Source organism: Homo sapiens, chromosome 3 (genome assembly GCF_000001405.40).
Source record: "Homo sapiens chromosome 3, GRCh38.p14 Primary Assembly".
NCBI lineage: Eukaryota > Metazoa > Chordata > Mammalia > Primates > Hominidae > Homo > Homo sapiens.
In genome coordinates, this window is record NC_000003.12 from 113,580,959 (window position 1) to 113,599,345 (window position 18,387).

Genomic DNA, 18,387 nt, shown 5'->3' on the forward strand with positions numbered 1-18,387 from the left:
GGGAAGGATTGTAACAAGGAACCAGGAAGACCAAGTTGTGGGCTCCGCGAGAAAGCTAAAATTGAACCCTACCATTTGTTCTGCTTTTAAATTTTTATTGTAACATTCGGTTCTTTCTGTCTCCTGAGGTGTTAACGAAAATTGAAAAAAGTGTTATACACTTTAAGACAATATTTTTATAGTTCTCTTCAATATAACATGACTTTGACTTTAGAGGACGAGGCCCCAAGTCTTAGGAAGACTATGTCATGACTGTTCAAGGGGGGAAATTGCCTAGTTTCTGGTTAATAAGGATCCCCTGCTCTGTGATCCAAGCAGAAAGATGCTGACAGGACCTATGTGTGGCATGACATTGCATGACATTATGGATGCTTTCCATTTTATTCCTCATGCATGCTGCAGTGCCCGGTGTATGATCTCGACCACAATGTGGAATTTAATGGTGTCTATCAGTCCATGACCAAGAAAGCTGCCATCACGCTACAGGTGAGGCATTGCTTCTGTGGGCATTATTGCCAATGGTAATGCTCAATAGATAGTGTACTTACTGGGCCAGCATCCAAAAGGGATGGCCATCCATGATGTGCCTAGGATCTCCTTCCTTTCTGATTGGTTTAAAAACTAATATGTCTGGCCAGGCGCAGTGGCTCACACCTGTAATCCTAGCACTTTGGGAGGCCAAGGCGAGCGGATCACCTAAAGTCAGGAGTTTGAGACCAGCCTGGCCAATATGGCAAAACCCTGTCTCCACTAAAAATACAAAAATTAGCTGGGCTTGGTGGTGCACACCTGCAATCCCAGCTACTCAGGAGGCTGAGGCAGGAGAGTCTCTTGAACCCAAGAGGCAGAGGTTGAAGTGAGCCAAGAGCACAGCACTGCACTCCAGCCTGGGCGACAACAGCAAAACTCCATTGAAATCAAAGCCTAGGTGATGGTAGACAATGCTACTCTACCAGGTGCCTCTTTCCCCTTGACAATTATTAGGAGCCCATGGTGCGATGGGACGTGTATCTGACAGATTGCTCAGAGAGGTAGGGCCAGAAGATTTCAGTCTACTTATTGGGGGTGCCAATTTAGGGTGAAGTTTGTCAGATCCATTTAAAGCAATTAAACATATTCTAATAATCTATACCAGTAACAGTAAGCAAATGAGGTCTTCAATTCTGAACAGAATGGACAGATTCAAAAGAATATGGACCATATTTGTACAGCAGCTTATCTTATGATATTTGTAATTATTATTTCAATTGTAATTTTATAACAAAAATGTATACATGTCATGTAAGCATATTTTCAAGGAGATTCTGTCCCTGCTTTGGGGGAGGTACTTACTTAAAGTACCTGCAGCGTGATCTGTTCCCTAGGGTAAGGTGATACTGTTTACTGAATAATAAGGCAAGAATGAAGAGAAGTTAATTATAATTTAGGTATGAGACCTAAAATTTTCTGTCAGGCTTTAATTTTCAAAGGCTTCAGATTTGATATCCCAAATATCTGCTCTTGTTTTTCAGTATTTCTTTCTTTCTTGGCATCCCGCATTATGTGGTCCCAAATAAAAGAGGACAGAAAAATAACTATAGTAGGGAACTTCAAATTGTATTTCATCCGGGACACTAAATTCATAAAGGGCAAGCATATCAATAACTCTCTTCCCTGGATGTGTTTGGCAATAAATTGTTACTTCTCTTTTGGGGCCTAACCTTTTGGGCAGAGGTTGCAATGAGCCGAGATCACGCCACCACACTCCAGCCTGGGCGACATGAGCGAAACTCCTTCTCAAAAAACAAACAAACAAACAAAATGATTTACAGCTATGCCTGAAATAAAAAAAATAAATAAATAAGCCATTTTCTCAGTGGGCTGAACATAACACCAGAAGTTTGGGGATGATTTTTTTTTAAGTCTGGGTTATAGAACTCTAACGGACCTTAAAGTTCATCTTGTCAACCGCACTTCATTCATGGATGAGGAAATGGGCACATAGAGAAACATACTTAGAGTAACTCAAAGCCAAGATGATAACTGAGTCCTTTGCCTCCCTAACCTAAATTATTTATTTAACTGCTGAGTGTGTCCATTTTAGAAAAGTGATTTATCATTAGATTCTAAAATAAAAACTTAACATGTAAGCATTAGTTATTAAACATAGGCTATTCACATATTATTTATATGGTGCTTATTATAGTTCTAAGCTCTCAAATAGGCACAAAATTGATTGAAATCAGGAATGTATATCTATTTACCTTAATTTCTTGGATGTAACAATTATCTTAGAGTGGATAATCTGGAGTAAATCATGGGTATGTGAAAGTCCTTTCCAAGGAGTTAGAGGGCAGGGGTGAACTTTATTTTCCTTCTCTTTCCTCTTTCTTTCTGCCCCTACCCCCAGGGACTTTCTCCCTTCTACCTCTTTCTTACCGCCTATCATAAGGTTGTTATGTCTTATGCAGAAGAAGGATTTTCCAGGCGAGCAGTTCTTCGTGGTATTTGTGATAAAGCCTGAAGATTATGCCTGTGGAGGATCTTTCTTCATCCAGGGTAAGAGCTAGTGAGGAACACTTGGCTGCTTAGCAAAACCTGAAGGAAGGGAGTGAAAGGGAAGCTGAAACCTCCTTTCTAGTTCCCACTAAACAAGGGTTGGTTCCATCATCATGATGGGAAAGGCATCTGAGAGATACTTGAGAAAAAAAACGAAAGATAGAAAGTAACAGATCTAAAGGTATTATCGATACTACAAAATATCATTTAGTACATTTCATCTTTTTGAAGCATTGTATTCCCTCAGACCATGGAAGATAAGTTCACTCGGTTGGCCCTTTACTCAACAAATATTTGCTACCATGAAGTAATGATCTTACACAGCGATCAAAGTCCATTTCTTAAGATGGGGTGGTAACCAGTAGCCATGGAGCTACTTAATTTATCAGTAGTCATCATTTCCACAATGATGGACAAGAAAAATTCAGCATTCTGCATCTCAGTTGCCAAAATTATACCTTGAAAAATAGTAAGAAAGCCCAACTGCTACAACTTATCCCAATAATAAGGGGTTATGGGGGCTCTTAGGCATAGCACAAATAGTTATGGTTAACTACCCAGTAGCTACCTTAAGGGCAGAATAGGCTGATGATTGAAAACATAGACCACTAGCCAGTGATTAATCACATGTGACCAACACAAAGTGTGTTTACTGTTGAGTGTAACATCATTTCCTTGATATTAATGTTTAGGTGAAATTTCTCCTAGTGTGTTCTTTAACCTCTTAATTACATGGCTCCAAAATTTTGCCAATGTCAAATATTCCTTGGTAAACTACAAGCCCTTTCATGACTATATAAGAGGGAAAAATTTGCACTGGCTAGAAACATACAAACCAAAGGAAGAGGTAGCTTCTGTTTTCACAGCTGTTTTCTTCACATGGCTGTGGATATCAGGGGAAGGGTCCACCCCTCTTCATTGGAGAAGGGAGGCCGCAATCTTGTTTGCATCTGTTAGTGGTACCAAAATGCACACAAGCAAAGGCCAAATTGAGAGTCTAATGCTAGTCTCCTTAACCAAAAGGGATTTCTGATGGTTTGAAGGTTTGGGGGTTACATATTCCTCCAGTTCTTGCTAAAATAAGATTCAGTGATCAGAATTAATTCTGGACATTTTTTGAACAACAGTTCAGACAAGAGACCAAAAAAAATCATTATCTGATTCAATGTGCTTTGTTCTTTTTTTATTTTTTTTAAACCAGAAAAGGAAAACCAGACCTGGAATCTACAGCGAAAAAAGAACCTTGAAGTGACCATTGTCCCTTCCATTAAAGGTCAGTGTTGGCTCCAGAATGCATTGAAGAGATTCCTGTGTCAGAAAATCAGTCATATAATTTGATATTACTGTCATCCTTCCAGAGAGAATTGTCATAAGAAAACTAAAGTATATTTACCTTAGAAATAGAAAAGGGAGTCAGAGCATTTTGTTAAATCCCTCCTAAAAAGAAAGGGACCTCAATCGTGAAGTCCCTTCCCAGCTTCTACTGGGAAGTCATCATTGTGAAAGGTAGCTACTGTGGATAATGTCTGGGGACCTCCAGTAGCAGTTTTGCTGTGAACAAAAATTTATTAGGACCTAAGAATCAATATGATGGAGGGGGCCCTTTAAGCCGTCCTGTCTCAGATGGAGTCTTCTTTTCTGCAGAGGATGACCTGACCAAAGTTGTTTCTCTCCCTTCAGAATCTGTTTATGTGAAATCCAGTCTTTTCAGTGTCTTCATCTTCCTGTCCTTCTACTTGGGATGCCTTCTTGTTGGGTTTGTTCATTATCTGAGGTAGGTCAATCTTTTCTAGAAATGTTAATTCCCTGTGCCTGTCTCTGTGTAACGCTTGCAGCACAGACTTGACAGATATATTGACTGGCTTCAAATCTCCCTCAGCCACTAGCAATGTGACCTTGGATACCTTGTGACCTTGGAGATGTTGCTCAACTCTCTGTGCTTCAGTTTCCTCATCCATAAAGTGAGATAATAATTTACCCCACAAAAAGTACAACTGCAGCTTTTATATCAATAACACACACATAATAGGTGCTGGTAGAGTGTTATTTTCATAGTTAATTAAAACTCAACAAAAAGGCAACATGTATATTTTTTAAACCAGAAAATACTCACTGTAGATGGTCAGTTTATCCTAACATGGAGATTTAGAAACAGCTTTAAACATTCTAACAAAAAGTAAATGTAATGCCTAAAATAAATCTTGAGGTGCAACAAAGAGCAGGAGTAATGTTCTTTGATACAGCATTACCAAGTGTTTTCCTTCTGTTGTAGCATCAATTTTCCAGTAAAATGTCCCTTGGAGGGGGAAAGGAGGTAATTGTGCTGTAATTTGACCAAAGAAATTTCCCTTGCGAAGAGTTTGGAGCCCCTAATGACACAGGGCTTTCCTTCCCTCTCTCAGCGGGGTTGAACCTTGAGAATTCCATTCTTTGTGGCATTCTCTGTGAAACAACTACAAAAGAATGGCAGGAGATTTACAATAAACAAATGTTCTTTCTCTTCTTGAACATGTAAAGAAAACAAAGCCAGAATTGAGTTTTGAGACTGTTTGCAAAATGAACTCCATCCATGGAAAGACTTCATGGCTACCTCAGTGATACAACTACGTATTTTAAGAATATGGGTCTATCTCCTATTCAAAAAATAACTGCCTCGATGACCTGTATGAAATTTTTGAGTTCAGATATTGCCTTCAAAAACAGTAGATGACTGCTGGCCAAATCTGGGACAATTTGAACACCAAAATTATTAAGAATAATGAATTATAAACCATTGGAAAAAATAGAAGTGTATGAGTCCCTGTTGATAAAGGAAGGAAGGGCCTAAACACCTGTGGATACACATTCAGCAATTCAACAAATTTATGAAAACAGCTACCCATTCGGGAAAGGAGCCATTAGCAGATACTGATAGTAGAAGGGAGAAAGAACTCTTGACCACAGCAAAATGCCAAAAGCTGGCTGGTAAATATGGAGGAGTGCTGGAGTTGGAAAATCATCATTTTGCAAACATTATGTTAAAGACTAGATTTGCTTAAGAATCATCGATGAATGCCAAATCTAGGGTGCAGAAATCTGATGAGGATGAAGATGTGTGCATGGCCTTAAACTGTATCCTCACAAATTGCTTAGTAGTTAAAGTGGAAAAAATAGTAGATATACAGTAAGAAATCAAACATATTGACCGGGTGATCAAAATTAATATCACCAAGGAGAAGATGGACATTGTGTGCCTCCAGATGTGACACTCTGAGAAGGACACAATGTCACTTTTGTAGCATTCCAGAAATGCATATTTGGAATCTAATCATGTGGAAAAATTAGACAACCTCCAATGATAAACATTCTATTAAAATGTGTCATAAAAGACAAAGAAAAGTTACATAAGTATTCCAGATTGAAGGAGACTAAAGATATGTTACAACCAAAGACAATACCTGATCTCAATCAGGATCTTACATTACACTAGCAGAAAAATATTCAACAAAGGACATTATTGAGTCAATTGACAAAACTGGAATACAGATAGTAGATTAGATAAGAATATCACATCAATGTTAAATTTGCTGAATTCGATAACTGTATTGTGGTTATGTAAGAGAATTTTTTTTGAAATATTTAGGAATAAAAGTTTAGGTCTTGGTTGTATGCAAGTTACTTTCAAATGGTCCAGGAAAAAAAAGTGTATATGTATGTGTGTGTGTATCTTGATACATATATATCATATATATTACATCTTTATGGGGAGGTGAGAATGATAAAAGCAAATGAGGTAATAAGCTAACAATTGTTTGAATCTATTTAAAGGATATATTGGTATTCTATGTTCTTATTCTTGCAACTTCTCTGTAAATCTGAAATTATTTTCAAATACAAGTTAAAAACAAAAACCCCAGGCTACAGGTGAATATTATACCTGGAAAGTATACATTAACTGATTAGCAGCTCAATTAATTTATCGAATCAGAGTTACTAATATTTAACAGGTGCCTGCTGTGTGCCAGGCTCTGTGCTCTAATTAACTTCTTCTTGATGTTTGTTTACAAACTCCTTTTAGTGTCATACTCTTCCATTTACTAAAAGAAAACAGCATATGATACATTTGAAAGAAAGCATGGTTCCATTTGCCTTTCATGGCAGGCGCTCTAAGTAGATTATCTCATCTGATGCCCCTCAACAGTGGGTACTGTTATTATCACCAAGTGACAGTTAAGGAAATTGAGGCACAGAGGGATTAAGCAATTTTACGAAGAATTCACAGCCAGTAAATGAAGGAGCCAGGATTTGAACTCAGGCAGTCTGGATCCAGAGCCTTAGGCCTAAAGCAGGCTGATCAAAATGGGTCTAGAGTGGTCAGGCCCTATGAGAGATGACAGTGCTGACCAAGAATGCCAGACCAAAAGCCTGGCACCCCAGCAAGGATCTAAGTTGAAAAGGGGTCCAAAACACTTCCAGTTTTGCCTTGGATGAGTTCCAATATCATGGAAAGAAGTTCCTCTGTTATGCCTGTCATAGGAAGACTGTCTCTAATCCTGATGTTTTAGATTTTAGAAAACAGGAGTGTTCCTCATTAGTTAGCTAGTATAGTTAACATACAAACAGACAAGTTAAGCTAATAGCTGGTTATCAATCGCTCTAAAGTTGTTATTTAGCCAACTAAGCCAAGCACAGTTTTTCTAAGCTGTGGTATAAGGCTCTATGGAAACTTCTAGCCACAGATTATTTTGCTATGGTCAAATGCACAGCATAGATTTCTCCAAATATAGACAAAGTGGAAATAGAAATCTGGAGATGTAAGAACTATTTGGCATTCTAAATAGAAGAATAGACTGAGGAAAAAAATGCTAATAGGAGAACTTTTCCTTCATTAACTAAGCAAAATAAAAAGTTTTCTGTAAAAACCATATGAAGCTACTCATCTCAGCATAATGCCAGTTACTTGATGAGTCCCTTAAACCCTATTACGAATACCTATGGGGTTTGTAGTACGTGCTATGAGATCAGGATAAAAAACATTGATCAGAGACATGGCCCTTGCCATCAGGGAGGTAAGAATCCAAAGTGTCTTCATACTGTATTAGCCTGAAACTAAACACTATTCCCTTCCCATCCTCCAGCCTCAGTCCATTCAACATGCGTTTATGAAGCCCCCCACGATGAATGTGCAGGCCCTGGGTCAAGCACTGCATACCTGTTCTCTTATTTGTTCTTCACAATCACATTGCCAGACATTGAATCCAAACTGCCCAATCCAGAATACTCATCCTTCCCTTTGATTCTTGTATTCGTTATCTATTACCACAATAATGCTACATTAAAAAAAAAAAAAAAAACTTCAGTGGCACACAGCAATACATGTTTAAGTTTGCTCACAAATCTATGGGTCAGCTGGATGGTTCCGCTAATCTGGGCTGGGCTGAGAGATCCCAGGTGGGTGTGATGAGAGAGTGTGGTCCACTGACAGATCAACTAAGAGCTAGCTCTTCTGGGCTGGCCTCAGCTGCACTTGTCTGTCATCCTGAAGCAGGCTAGCTGGGGCTTATTTGTTTCCAAGACAGACAGCAGAAGAGTGCAAGGCCTCTTGAAGATGCAGATTCGGAATTAGCACAATGTTACTTCCCCCTCATTCAATTGGCCAAAATAAGTCATGAGGGTAGTCTAGATTCAGGAAATGAAGATGTAGACTCTACCTTTGGTTGAAAGAGCTGGATATAAGGTGAGGTGCAGCCATTTTGCAATCAATCTAGCACAGTCCTCATTTGCTATTTTTTCCTTTATTCACTAGATACCACCTGCCTTATCCTAGCTTTGTAAATCATTTAACTCATCTAATGAAAAATTTTGTCAGTTCCAGAATCTAGTGCAAACTTGGGTAAAGTCTGTGAATACAAACACATAATCAAAACATATCATCTTCTATGAGTACATACAATTGCTTTCCAGTCAATTGTTAACTAAAATTATTAAAAAGGAACTTCACCACAGCCTCTTTTGCCAGCTATGAGAGTCAGGCCAAATTATAACTTCTCTCCCTTTTTTTTTTTTTTTTTTTTTTGAGACAGTCTCTCGCCCTGTCATCCAGGCTGGAGTGCAGTGGCACGATCTCAGCTCACTGTAACCTCTGCCTCCTGGGTTCAAGCAATTCTCCTGTCGCAGCCTCCCCCGTAGCTGGGACTACAGGCACGTGCCACCATGACTGGCTAATTTTTGTATTTTTAGTAGAGACAGGGTTTCACCATATTGGTCAGACTGGTCTTGAATTCCTGACCTCAGGTGATCCACCCACCTTGGCCTCCAAAAGTGCTGGGATTACAGGCGTGAGCCACTGCGCCTGGCCAACTTTTCTCCTTAATGATATGCGTCATTCATTCAATAAAAATTTAGTGATCATCTTCTATGTGCCAGCTATATCCTAGAAGTTGGAGATATATTATAGTGAATGAAACAGTATAGATCCCTGCTGTGATAGAGCTTACATTTTACAGGGAAGAAATATACAAGCAAGTAAGCAATTAATAAAGAAAATCATTCCAGTTCCTGACAGAAAAAACACAGTGGTATGATAAAGAACGATTGCATTGGAGAAGCTGCTTTAGATTAGATTTGATTGGCAGGGAAGTCCTCTCATAACCAAGACCTGAATGGCAAGAAGGAGCCTGCCATGTAAGGATCTGGGGAGAGAATGACTCAGGTAGAGAACAAAAGCCAAAGCCCTCTGCCATTCAGGAGTTTGGTGTGTCTAGGAACAAAAGAGCTATGAAGAGAAGTTCTTCCACCAAACATACAAAATCAGGATATGCAACTTATAGAGTTCCCATCTGGAAGTAATAAGAGAATGTATCAAAACATGGGCACTTCTGGTCCCCAACTTTCCTCTCACACCCCTCCAACCTCATTTTGAGAGAATAATTCACATTTTAATTTTTGATGGCCATTCCCAAATGGTATAGTTTGTTTGTTAATAATGACTTTATTGAGATACAATTCATAGACCATAAAATTCGCCCCTTTAAAGTATACAATTCTGTGATTTTTTAGGATATTCACTGTTGCATAACCATCACTACGATCTAATTCAGAATATTTTCATCATTCCAAAAAGAAACTCCGAGTTTAACAAGATTTCTTGAGATCAATATGCAAAAAATCATTTGTATTTCTCTACACTAGCAATGAGCAATCCAAAAATAAAATTAAGAAAACAATTCCATTTACAAAAGCACAAAAAATAATAAAATATTTTGGAGTAAATTTAACAAATTAAATGTAAGACTTGTACATTGAAAACTGCAAAACATCATTGAAATAAATTAAAGGAGACTTAAATGAAAAGACATCCCATGTGCATGGATTGGAAGATTTAATATTGTTAAGATAATGCAGTAAATAGAATAATGGTCCCCAAAAGAATTCTATGTCTAATCTCCAGAACCTGTGAATATGTTACCTTACCTGGCAAAAGGAACTGGTAGATGTGATAAAGTTATGAAGATTATCTTGGGTTATCTACATGGACCTAATGTAATCACAAGAATCCTTATGAAGGAGACAAAAAGGTCAAAGGCAGAAGAAGGAAATGCGACAAAGAAAGCAGAGGTTGGAATGATATACTTTGCAGATGGAGGAAGGGGCTGTGAGTCAGGAAATACAGGCTGCCTCTAGAAGCTTCAAAGACAAGAAAATGAATACTCCCCTGCAGCCTCCAGAAGTACAGCCCTGCTGACACCTTTATTTTAGCCATATAAGGCACATTTTGGTATTCTGACTCCCAGAACTGTAAGATAATAAACTTGTATTGTTTTAAACACCCAGTCTGTGAGTTTGTTACAGCAGCAGTAGGAAACTAATATACATGACAATAGTTCCCAAATTAATCTACAAATTCAACACAATCCCTTGCAAAGTCCCAGCTGGCTTTTTTACAGAAATGGACAAACTGATCCTAAAATTCATATGAAAATGAAAGGGAGAAGCCAAAACAATCCTGAAAAAAAAAAAGAAGAACGTTAAAGGATTTGCACTTTCTGATATCAATCTTATTACAAAGTTGCAGTCATCAAGACTCTGGTACTGACATAAAGAAAGACATATGGGAGGCTGAGGCAGGAGAATGGGGTGAACCCGGGAGGCGGAGCTTGCAGTGAGCCAAGATCGCACCACTGCACTCCAGCCTGGGCGACAGAGCGAGACTCTGGGGATGAAAGACTCTTCTTGCTGTGCAGCCACTGTGGAAAACAGTTTGGAAAAAAAGTTAAACATGGAGTTATCTCATGCTCAACAATTCCACTCCTAGCTATATACCCAAGATAATTGAAAACATATGTCCACACAAAAATGTGTACACAAATGTTCATAACAGTATTACTCATGATAGCCAAAATGTGAAAACAACCAAAATATCCATTAAGTGCAAGCATGTCAATGAAATGTGGTCTATCCGTACAATGGAATATTATTCAGCCATAAAAAGACTGAAGTACTGACGCATACTACAGCATGGATGAACCTTGAAAACGTTACACTAAGTGAAAGAAACTAGACACAAAAGTTCGCATGTAATATAATTCATTTTTAATGAAATGTCTAAAATAGGCAAACTTATAGAGACAGAAAGTAGATTAGTGTTTTCTAGGGGATGGGGAGTGGGGAATGGGGAGTGACTGGTCATGGGTTTGAGATTTCTTCTGGGGATGATGAAAATATTCTAGAATTCGATAGTGGTGGGAGCTGTACAACTTTGTGAATGTATTTGATTGGTGTGAAAGTAATTGCGGTTTTGCCATTATTTTTGAAGGCAAAAATCACAATTATTTTCGCACCAATCTAATACTAAAACTCACTAAATTATGCACTTTAAAGGGTGAATTTTATGGTATGTGAATTACATCTGAAAACTGATGAATGAATAAATGATGTATATGCCTGAGAATGAAATTGCTGGGATATATGGTAACTCTTTAACTTTTTGAGAAACTGACAAACTTTTCCAAAGTGACTGCACCATTTTACATTCCCACCAACAATGTATGAGTTCCAATTTCTCCATATCCAAAGACATGTGTTTGTTTGTTGTTGTTGTTTGTTTTGTTTTTCTTTTTCTTTTTCTTTTTTTTTTTGAGATGGAGTCTCGCTCTGTCGCCCAATGCAGTGGCATGATCTCAGCTCACTGCAACCTCCACCTCCTGGGTTCAAGCAATTCTCCTGCCTCAGCCTCCCAAGTAGCTGGGACTACAGGCACCTGCCATCACGCCCAGCTAATTTTTGTATTTTTATTAGAGACGGGGTTTCACCATATTGGCCAGGCTGGTCTTGAACTCCTGACTTTGTGATCCGCCTGCCTTGGCCTCCCAAAGTGCTGGGATTACAGGTGTGTGCCACCGCACCTGGCCCCAAAGACATGTTTTGAAGAGATCCTAGTAGACAAATCCGCAACAAAATCTATAAGGAACAAATGTAAAATGCTGAGGTTTTCACTGTCTTAGGAGCATGTGTATGTGCTTGTTTGCAGGTTTCAGAGAAAATCCATTGATGGAAGCTTTGGGTCCAATGATGGTAAGAGCAATGCTTGGTTTCAATTCAAAATGGTGTCGCATAGTGTGGCAACATCCCATTTCATGCTTCTTTTACCTCTCTGCCTTTTGCAATTTACAAACCCTCCCTTGATTCCTATCCCGCAGAGTAGTCTAGCCTGCAGTTGGAAAGCAAAGCTAGTGAAAACCAATTCTATAGTTCAAGAGGTCCCAAGCCCTAGGCCGTGGACTGGTACTGATCCGTGGCCTGTTAGGAGCTGGGCTGCACAGCAGGAGATGAGTGGCAGGTGAGCAAGTATTACCACCTGAACTCCACCTCCGCTCAGATCAGTGGCAGCATTAGATTCTCATAGGACCGCAAACCCTATTGTGAACTGTGCATGCGAGGGATCTGGGTTGCGTGCTCCTTATGAGAATCTAATGCCATAACCCATCCCCACCCCCGTCTGTGGAAAAATTGTCTTTCATGAAACCAGTCCCTAAATATTGGTGCCAAAAATGTTGGAGACTGCTGCTGTAGTTGATAATTATTGAGACGTGGAGCTCACACTAAAAACCTTTACTAGGAGTGTCCCTTGTAATCACAGATCATTGGTCAGCCATTCATCTTTTTTAAAAGTTTCACCTTTTCTAGGACATAATTGTTCATACCTGTCCTATCCCAAAGCTGATTTGTGAACAACAGTAAGAATGTATTGTGCCAACTCTGATACATGGTTTACTTTTTCCCAAACTAAGATGGAGGCTTTCTTAAGTGTCTAGAAAACTGAAATACTTGACCCTAGCAAGTATAATAAAGAGTATAATAACTTGGGGGAATCCAGAGTAATTGACTATCCAGCAATTGTACTATGCCTTTTCCTCCACTCTGAGAGTTTGAACAAAAGAATTCAATGACCTGATCTTTTTAACAAAATTAAAAATTTAAATGTCCTCATTTTTGAAAAACCTAAACTCAGTGCTCATAGGTTATTTGGCATAGAGCAAGAATTTGGTTAAAGAGGAATATGAAGTGGAACTTGGTTTTTAAGTCATACATAGCAGATGTTTAGGTGTGTGTTTTCCACACTTAAATGAGGCCACAGAATCTTAGAAAGACTTTAACTCACCCCCTACCCCCCTCCAGCAGGATCATTGCTCCCTTTGCTGGAGAGTTTGCTTTTTTCTTTTTAATGTTTGTCTTCCTTAATGTCAGCATGCCTGTTTTTCCAGCCACCCAAGCACTTTGTTTTATAAACATTCAGCTGTCAATATAAAAGACTATAAAAGAACACCTGCTCTCGTGGCTTTAAAGTGCTAAATGCTCCTCTCCCTTTTAGTCGTCAGATGTTTAAATGAATTTGTCTGCTCTCTGGATGTCATCTTTTTTCCTACAGGAAAAAAGTTTTGTGCCTCCAAGTTTTGTGATTAGTTTAGGCCTAGTTGAACTTAGGCCTACATCCAATCGATTGAATCCCATTGGGTAGCCTCTGAATGGTTAGTCTGTTATTTTTTATAGTATGAGTGAAGTCTTTTTATTATAATAATATTTATTGAAGGAATTCTGCATTCAGAAGGGTCTGTTGAACATTGAAGCATAAGTGGACAAAGCTGGGACTTGAGCCAGATCATTGTCCAGGTTCAGGGAGGCTCTGAAAATTAGCTAAGAGCTGGAGGTACCCTTCTGATGGTAAGCGGAAACAAATGAGTGACCAAAAAGAGTAAAGATGCATCATTGAGATTCATGTGGCTGTAGGTAACCACAGCAACAAGAAAAAAAAAATCTCAAACCTGCTTAATCAAGAAAGAGACTCCTAGCTCTGGAAGTAGAGCCAAAAGATGTACTTCAGGATTGATGAGTCCAGTGGCTCTGGTCCATTTCCCTGCCATTCCCTTGGCTTCAATTTACTCCCAGGGCTGGCAGTGACATGGGTCAAGGCTCACACCTTCACCTGGCAGCACCAGAGGGAAGGACCTTTTAAGAAGCCCTCAGCAACTTCTTGTGTTTCATTGGCCTAGAGTGAATCATACACTTATTGTTAAACCAGTCACTGCAAAGAACAGATTTACCTACACATCAGATAAACCTACTTTCAGAATTAAGATTAGGTCCTCTTCTCTAAGACCAGAGTTTCTCAAACTCAATATTATTGACATCATAGGCCAGATAATTCTTTGTTGTTGGGGGCTATTCTGTATCTTATAGGATGTTTAATAGCATCCTTCACTTCCGTGCACTAGATTCTAGGAGTTGCCCCTCCTTGGGACAACTAAAAATGCCTCCAGGCTTGGTGCAGTTGCTCATGCCTGTAATCCCAGCATTTGGGGAGGCCGAGGTTGGAGGATTGTTTGGGCCTAGGAGTTCGAGACCAGCCTAGGCAACATAGTAAGACTTCGTCTTCATAAAAACAAAAAATAAACAAAATTAGGTGGGCGTGGTGGTGTGCACCTGTGCTCCAGCTACTTCGGAGGCTGCTATGGGAGGATCGCTTGAGCCCAGGATGTTGGGGCTGCAGTGAGCTGAGATCGCACCACTGCACTCCAACTTAGGTGACAGAGCAAGACCGTGTCTCAAAAAAAAAAAAAGCCTCCAGACATTGCCAAATGTCTTTTTGGGGGCAAAACTCTTTCCCCACATCCCCCTGTTTGAGAACCATGGACCTAAACACATGAAGACACCTAAATAACACACCAGCTTAGGTAAGAAGTAGGGAATAGGAATATTCACCACACAAAAGTCTTGAAATAGGAAGAAAATAAGGAACCTTTGTAAGGTAGAGAGGCCACAGGGAATGATGGCATCACCCCCAATGTCATGACCACTGGTGAGTCAAGACCTAGATGCTTAAACCAAGAGCAGAAGACAAGCACTGCCCAAGGGAAGAACCAGTGACTTTTTTAGGCATCTCAAACAGAGCATAGAGAAATCAACCAGGAGCAAGAGACAGAGGCAAGTAAGGACCATATCTGGAAGCTAGTGACAGACATTCAGGGAAGAAACAAGGATACAGAAATGTCTTTCTCTCCCAAGGCCAGGATCAGCATGACCATGGGGCACAGGAAGTTCGATGGAGCTCAGAGTTACAGGAAATGCCTTGGGTGCTTATATCCAGAGAAAATGCTAGAAGCAGCTTCTTAAAGGGGAAGAGGATCCCACTAGACTTAATACGGTCTCTGCCCACATCATTGTGGAGCTAGATATCTGTGGAACTTAGCCTAAGGCTTTCACCTTAGACGTGACTGAAGTGGAAGAAATGGAATCAGGTCCCTACAGGTTGCCAAATTGGTGGCAGCTCTGTTGGAGTTAGGAAGGATGCACTCAGAAAATCTGTGCGCTACTCTGCATTTGTTTTTCTTTGATATGCCTGAAGTGATTTAATTAAGCTGTATGTGAAAATCTCCATGTTAGCTCCAACTATAATAAAAAGCAAAAAAATGTATTTCATACTTCATGGGATGAAGAAGAAGATTAGACCCTGGAGCCTGGGTGAGATGGAAATACTGTTGGCAAAGAGCTGCTCCAGGGGACTTGAAGGGACTTTTTTACTGTACTATGAATGACTGGACCCTGTATTGTCTAATTATCCTTAATACCAAAGACAGGGCATCTGTGAGAATCTGAGAGGTACTAAGAAAGGCTCTGTGCTCTAAAACCATTTCCTCCACTGGCTTTATCAGAGAGAAACCCCACATTTCACATCATTGTTAAAGAGCCTCTACAGAAATTCAGTTACCAGCTGAGAAAAATAATGAAGCCTCCCCAACAGGCCTCTGGGACCCCTTGAGTTGCCACCAGGAACTGGGGTACAACAGAAGAGGAGGTTACTTTCTCAAATGCAAGAGCTTGGCAGGCCTAATCGGTTGTAGATTTAAGAACCAAATGGCCAACCCAATCCTTCCCTGGATACAGCCATTACTGAACCAGCCTCTTAGCCAAGAGCAAGATCTGGTGGAGATAAGACAAGGAGAGTGTTGAATTTGGAGGACTCAAGGAACGCAGGCCATTCAGTGACAAAGGGTCTCAAATTTTAGTCCTAGATCTCTACTCTTCTTTTTCTAGTTTTCTTGTCCAGCTTTTTCTTCTAGAGGAATTTTACTTTTACATCCATCTGCAAAGATGATGGTTTTCTTCATTTTTTCTTCAACTATTGAAACAAAACGTGACACTAAGTTGGGATAGGTAGGCAATTGGCATAAAAATAAAATTTTGGCTGGGCACGATGGCTCACACCTGTAATCCCAACACTTTGGGAGGCCGAGGCGGGTGGATTGCCTACAGTCAGCAGATTGAGACCATCCTGGCCAACATTGTGAAACCCTGTCTCCACTAAAATACAAAATATTAGCCGCACATGGTGGCATGTACCTGTAGTCCCAGCTACTCAGGAGGCTGAGGCAGGGGAATCACTTGAACCCGGGAGGCAGAGGTTGCAATGAGCCGAGATCATGCCACTGCACTCCAGCCTGGCGACAGAGCGAGACTCCATCTCAAAAAAAAAAAAAAAAAAAAAAAAATCATGCTAGCTAGTTCCCATCATTTCTGGCTCCCTCTTCAGCTTCCAACCTGCTGAGTCTTCAGAGACATAATGGGACAAGGCAACTATAAATATGAAGTCCCTGAAAGACGCAAACATGCTCAAAATGAAATGAAATTTTTCTCCTCACATAAGGCATTTACCATAAAAAGCAAGCGTGCAAGCATATCCTGTTCTATGTCAGTGAAGTAGACAGATGCAGGGGGCTCAAGCTCAGAGAAACACATATCAAAACAAGTTTCCTCATTAAGATGAGATCATTCACAATCGTAAGTGTCTGCTATTTCCAGCCAGAACATCTTGGTCTGTCTTATAAGCTGATATTTTGTGTTGAATTATGCTTTCTATGTACTATACAGTTAAATATAGATATGGCTTGCCTTCCCAGACCATACTTGACGTTTAGAAGGAAATGCCTTGGTTTTTGCATTCTTAAAAGGCTTTAGACATAAGCAAAATGAAAAGAATACTGTTATCCCATGTTGGCCAATCTCATATTTAATTGGTGCATATAAAAGTCCACAGAATGAAAACATTTTTGCATGCTGGCAATGGTATTGCACATGAAAATCTTGGTGCTCTTATCTGTCACAGAACCCATGATGTTGCAGCTGCCTCAAAATGAACAGGGCCAGCAACAACATCAAAACCAGATCATGCTCAGTGATGAGCCAGAGCAGAAAACAGAAATCAGTGATTCCTTAAAGTCTGAACAGACCTACACAGCTGGCTTTGTCTTTTTAGTGAAGTTGTCACCTAACAAAACACTGATTGTTTTTGTTTGTTCACTTGCTTTGATTTTAGTTTTTGGTTTTTGTTTTTCTTTTGATTACACACACAGACAGAGAACATTGGCTCCCACGAACAATTTCGACCTCCTGCTACAACTGACCTCCAGTATTTTCTTATACAAACTTCAACTTCCCATATCAGAGGACTTCCAGTGACACCAAAATGCACTATGTGCACGTAACATCAAAACATCATGTTGTACATCTTAATATATACAATTAAAAAATCTTTTTTTATAGAAACAAGTTTTCACTGAGACCAATTCAAGGAATCACTATCCATCCACTATCTGAGTGACTGGGCAAATTACTTGATCTCTCAGCATCTCCCTTTTATCATCTTTAAAACATATGGTAATATTATATGATAAAATATATGGTAAAATATATGATAATATTCTCAGCATTTTGTGATTTTAGTGTCATTCTTCATTTACTATTTGCACATTTAATAATTTTCAAAATTACATTTCAAATAAGGACATAGGTTAGTGACTTAAAATAAGGAGCTTAGACCAGGCATGGTGGCTCACACCTGTAATCCCAGCACTTTGGGAGGCCAAGACTGGAGGATTGCTTGAGTCAAGGAGTTGGAGGCCAGCCTCGTCAACCTAGGGAGATTCTGTCTCTACAAATAATTTTTGAAAAATTAGCCAGGTGTGGTGGCATGACCCTGTGGTCACAGCTACTCAAGAGGCTGAGGCAGGAGGATCGCCTGAACCCGGTGGTTGAGGCTACAGTGCGCCATGATTGTGCCACTGCACTCCAGTCTGGGCAACAGAGTGAGACCCAGTCTCAAGAAATAAATAAATAAAATAAAATAGGGAGCTTGAAAAGAGAAAAATGTGAAAGATACTGAGGGGAATGTAAAAGACCTACAACATCATCTAGGAATAAGAGCAACCCAGGGGTTCCATGAGACTCCCTGCAATAAACTAAACAGAAAGAAGATGCAGGATGACCCACGCCAGTGGGTAATCATTGGCAGGCAGCAGCTGCCAATCTAAAAAGCAA

General features: G+C 39.7%; 1 protein-coding gene, 1 long non-coding RNA gene and 1 other non-coding gene across 33 annotated transcripts in view; 2 read left to right on the forward strand and 1 right to left on the reverse strand.

The window, feature by feature from the left end:
* Positions 1–18,387, forward strand: part of SIDT1 (SID1 transmembrane family member 1) — a 104,557-nt gene that overhangs the window by 48,404 nt on the left and 37,766 nt on the right. For 13 of the 31 annotated variants that reach the window (NR_136280.2, NR_136282.2, NR_136283.2 and 10 more), the window contains 5 exons: positions 403–486; positions 2,451–2,538; positions 3,740–3,811; positions 4,219–4,312; positions 12,047–12,090. Coding sequence is in view for 24 of the 31 variants with exons in the window: in XM_047448376.1 (XP_047304332.1) it covers positions 403–486; positions 2,451–2,538; positions 3,740–3,811; positions 4,219–4,312; positions 12,047–12,090 (382 nt within the window). In the remaining 7 variants the exon portion in view is untranslated. Of the gene's footprint in view, positions 1–402; positions 487–2,389; positions 2,539–3,739; positions 3,812–4,218; positions 4,313–12,046; positions 12,091–18,387 lie in introns of those variants that run through there. The other 18 variants (NM_001322295.2, XM_047448377.1, XM_047448383.1 and 15 more) reach the window with 5 other exon arrangements.
* SIDT1-AS1 (SIDT1 antisense RNA 1) lies at positions 7,790–10,101 on the reverse strand. Its single transcript, NR_046729.1, has 2 exons — positions 8,825–10,101; positions 7,790–7,847 (listed from the first exon to the last, which is right to left on the reverse strand). It is a non-coding gene; the product is annotated as an SIDT1 antisense RNA 1 (long non-coding RNA).
* Positions 13,918–13,984, forward strand: MIR4446 (microRNA 4446). Its single transcript, NR_039648.1, has one exon. It is a non-coding gene; the product is annotated as a microRNA 4446 (primary transcript).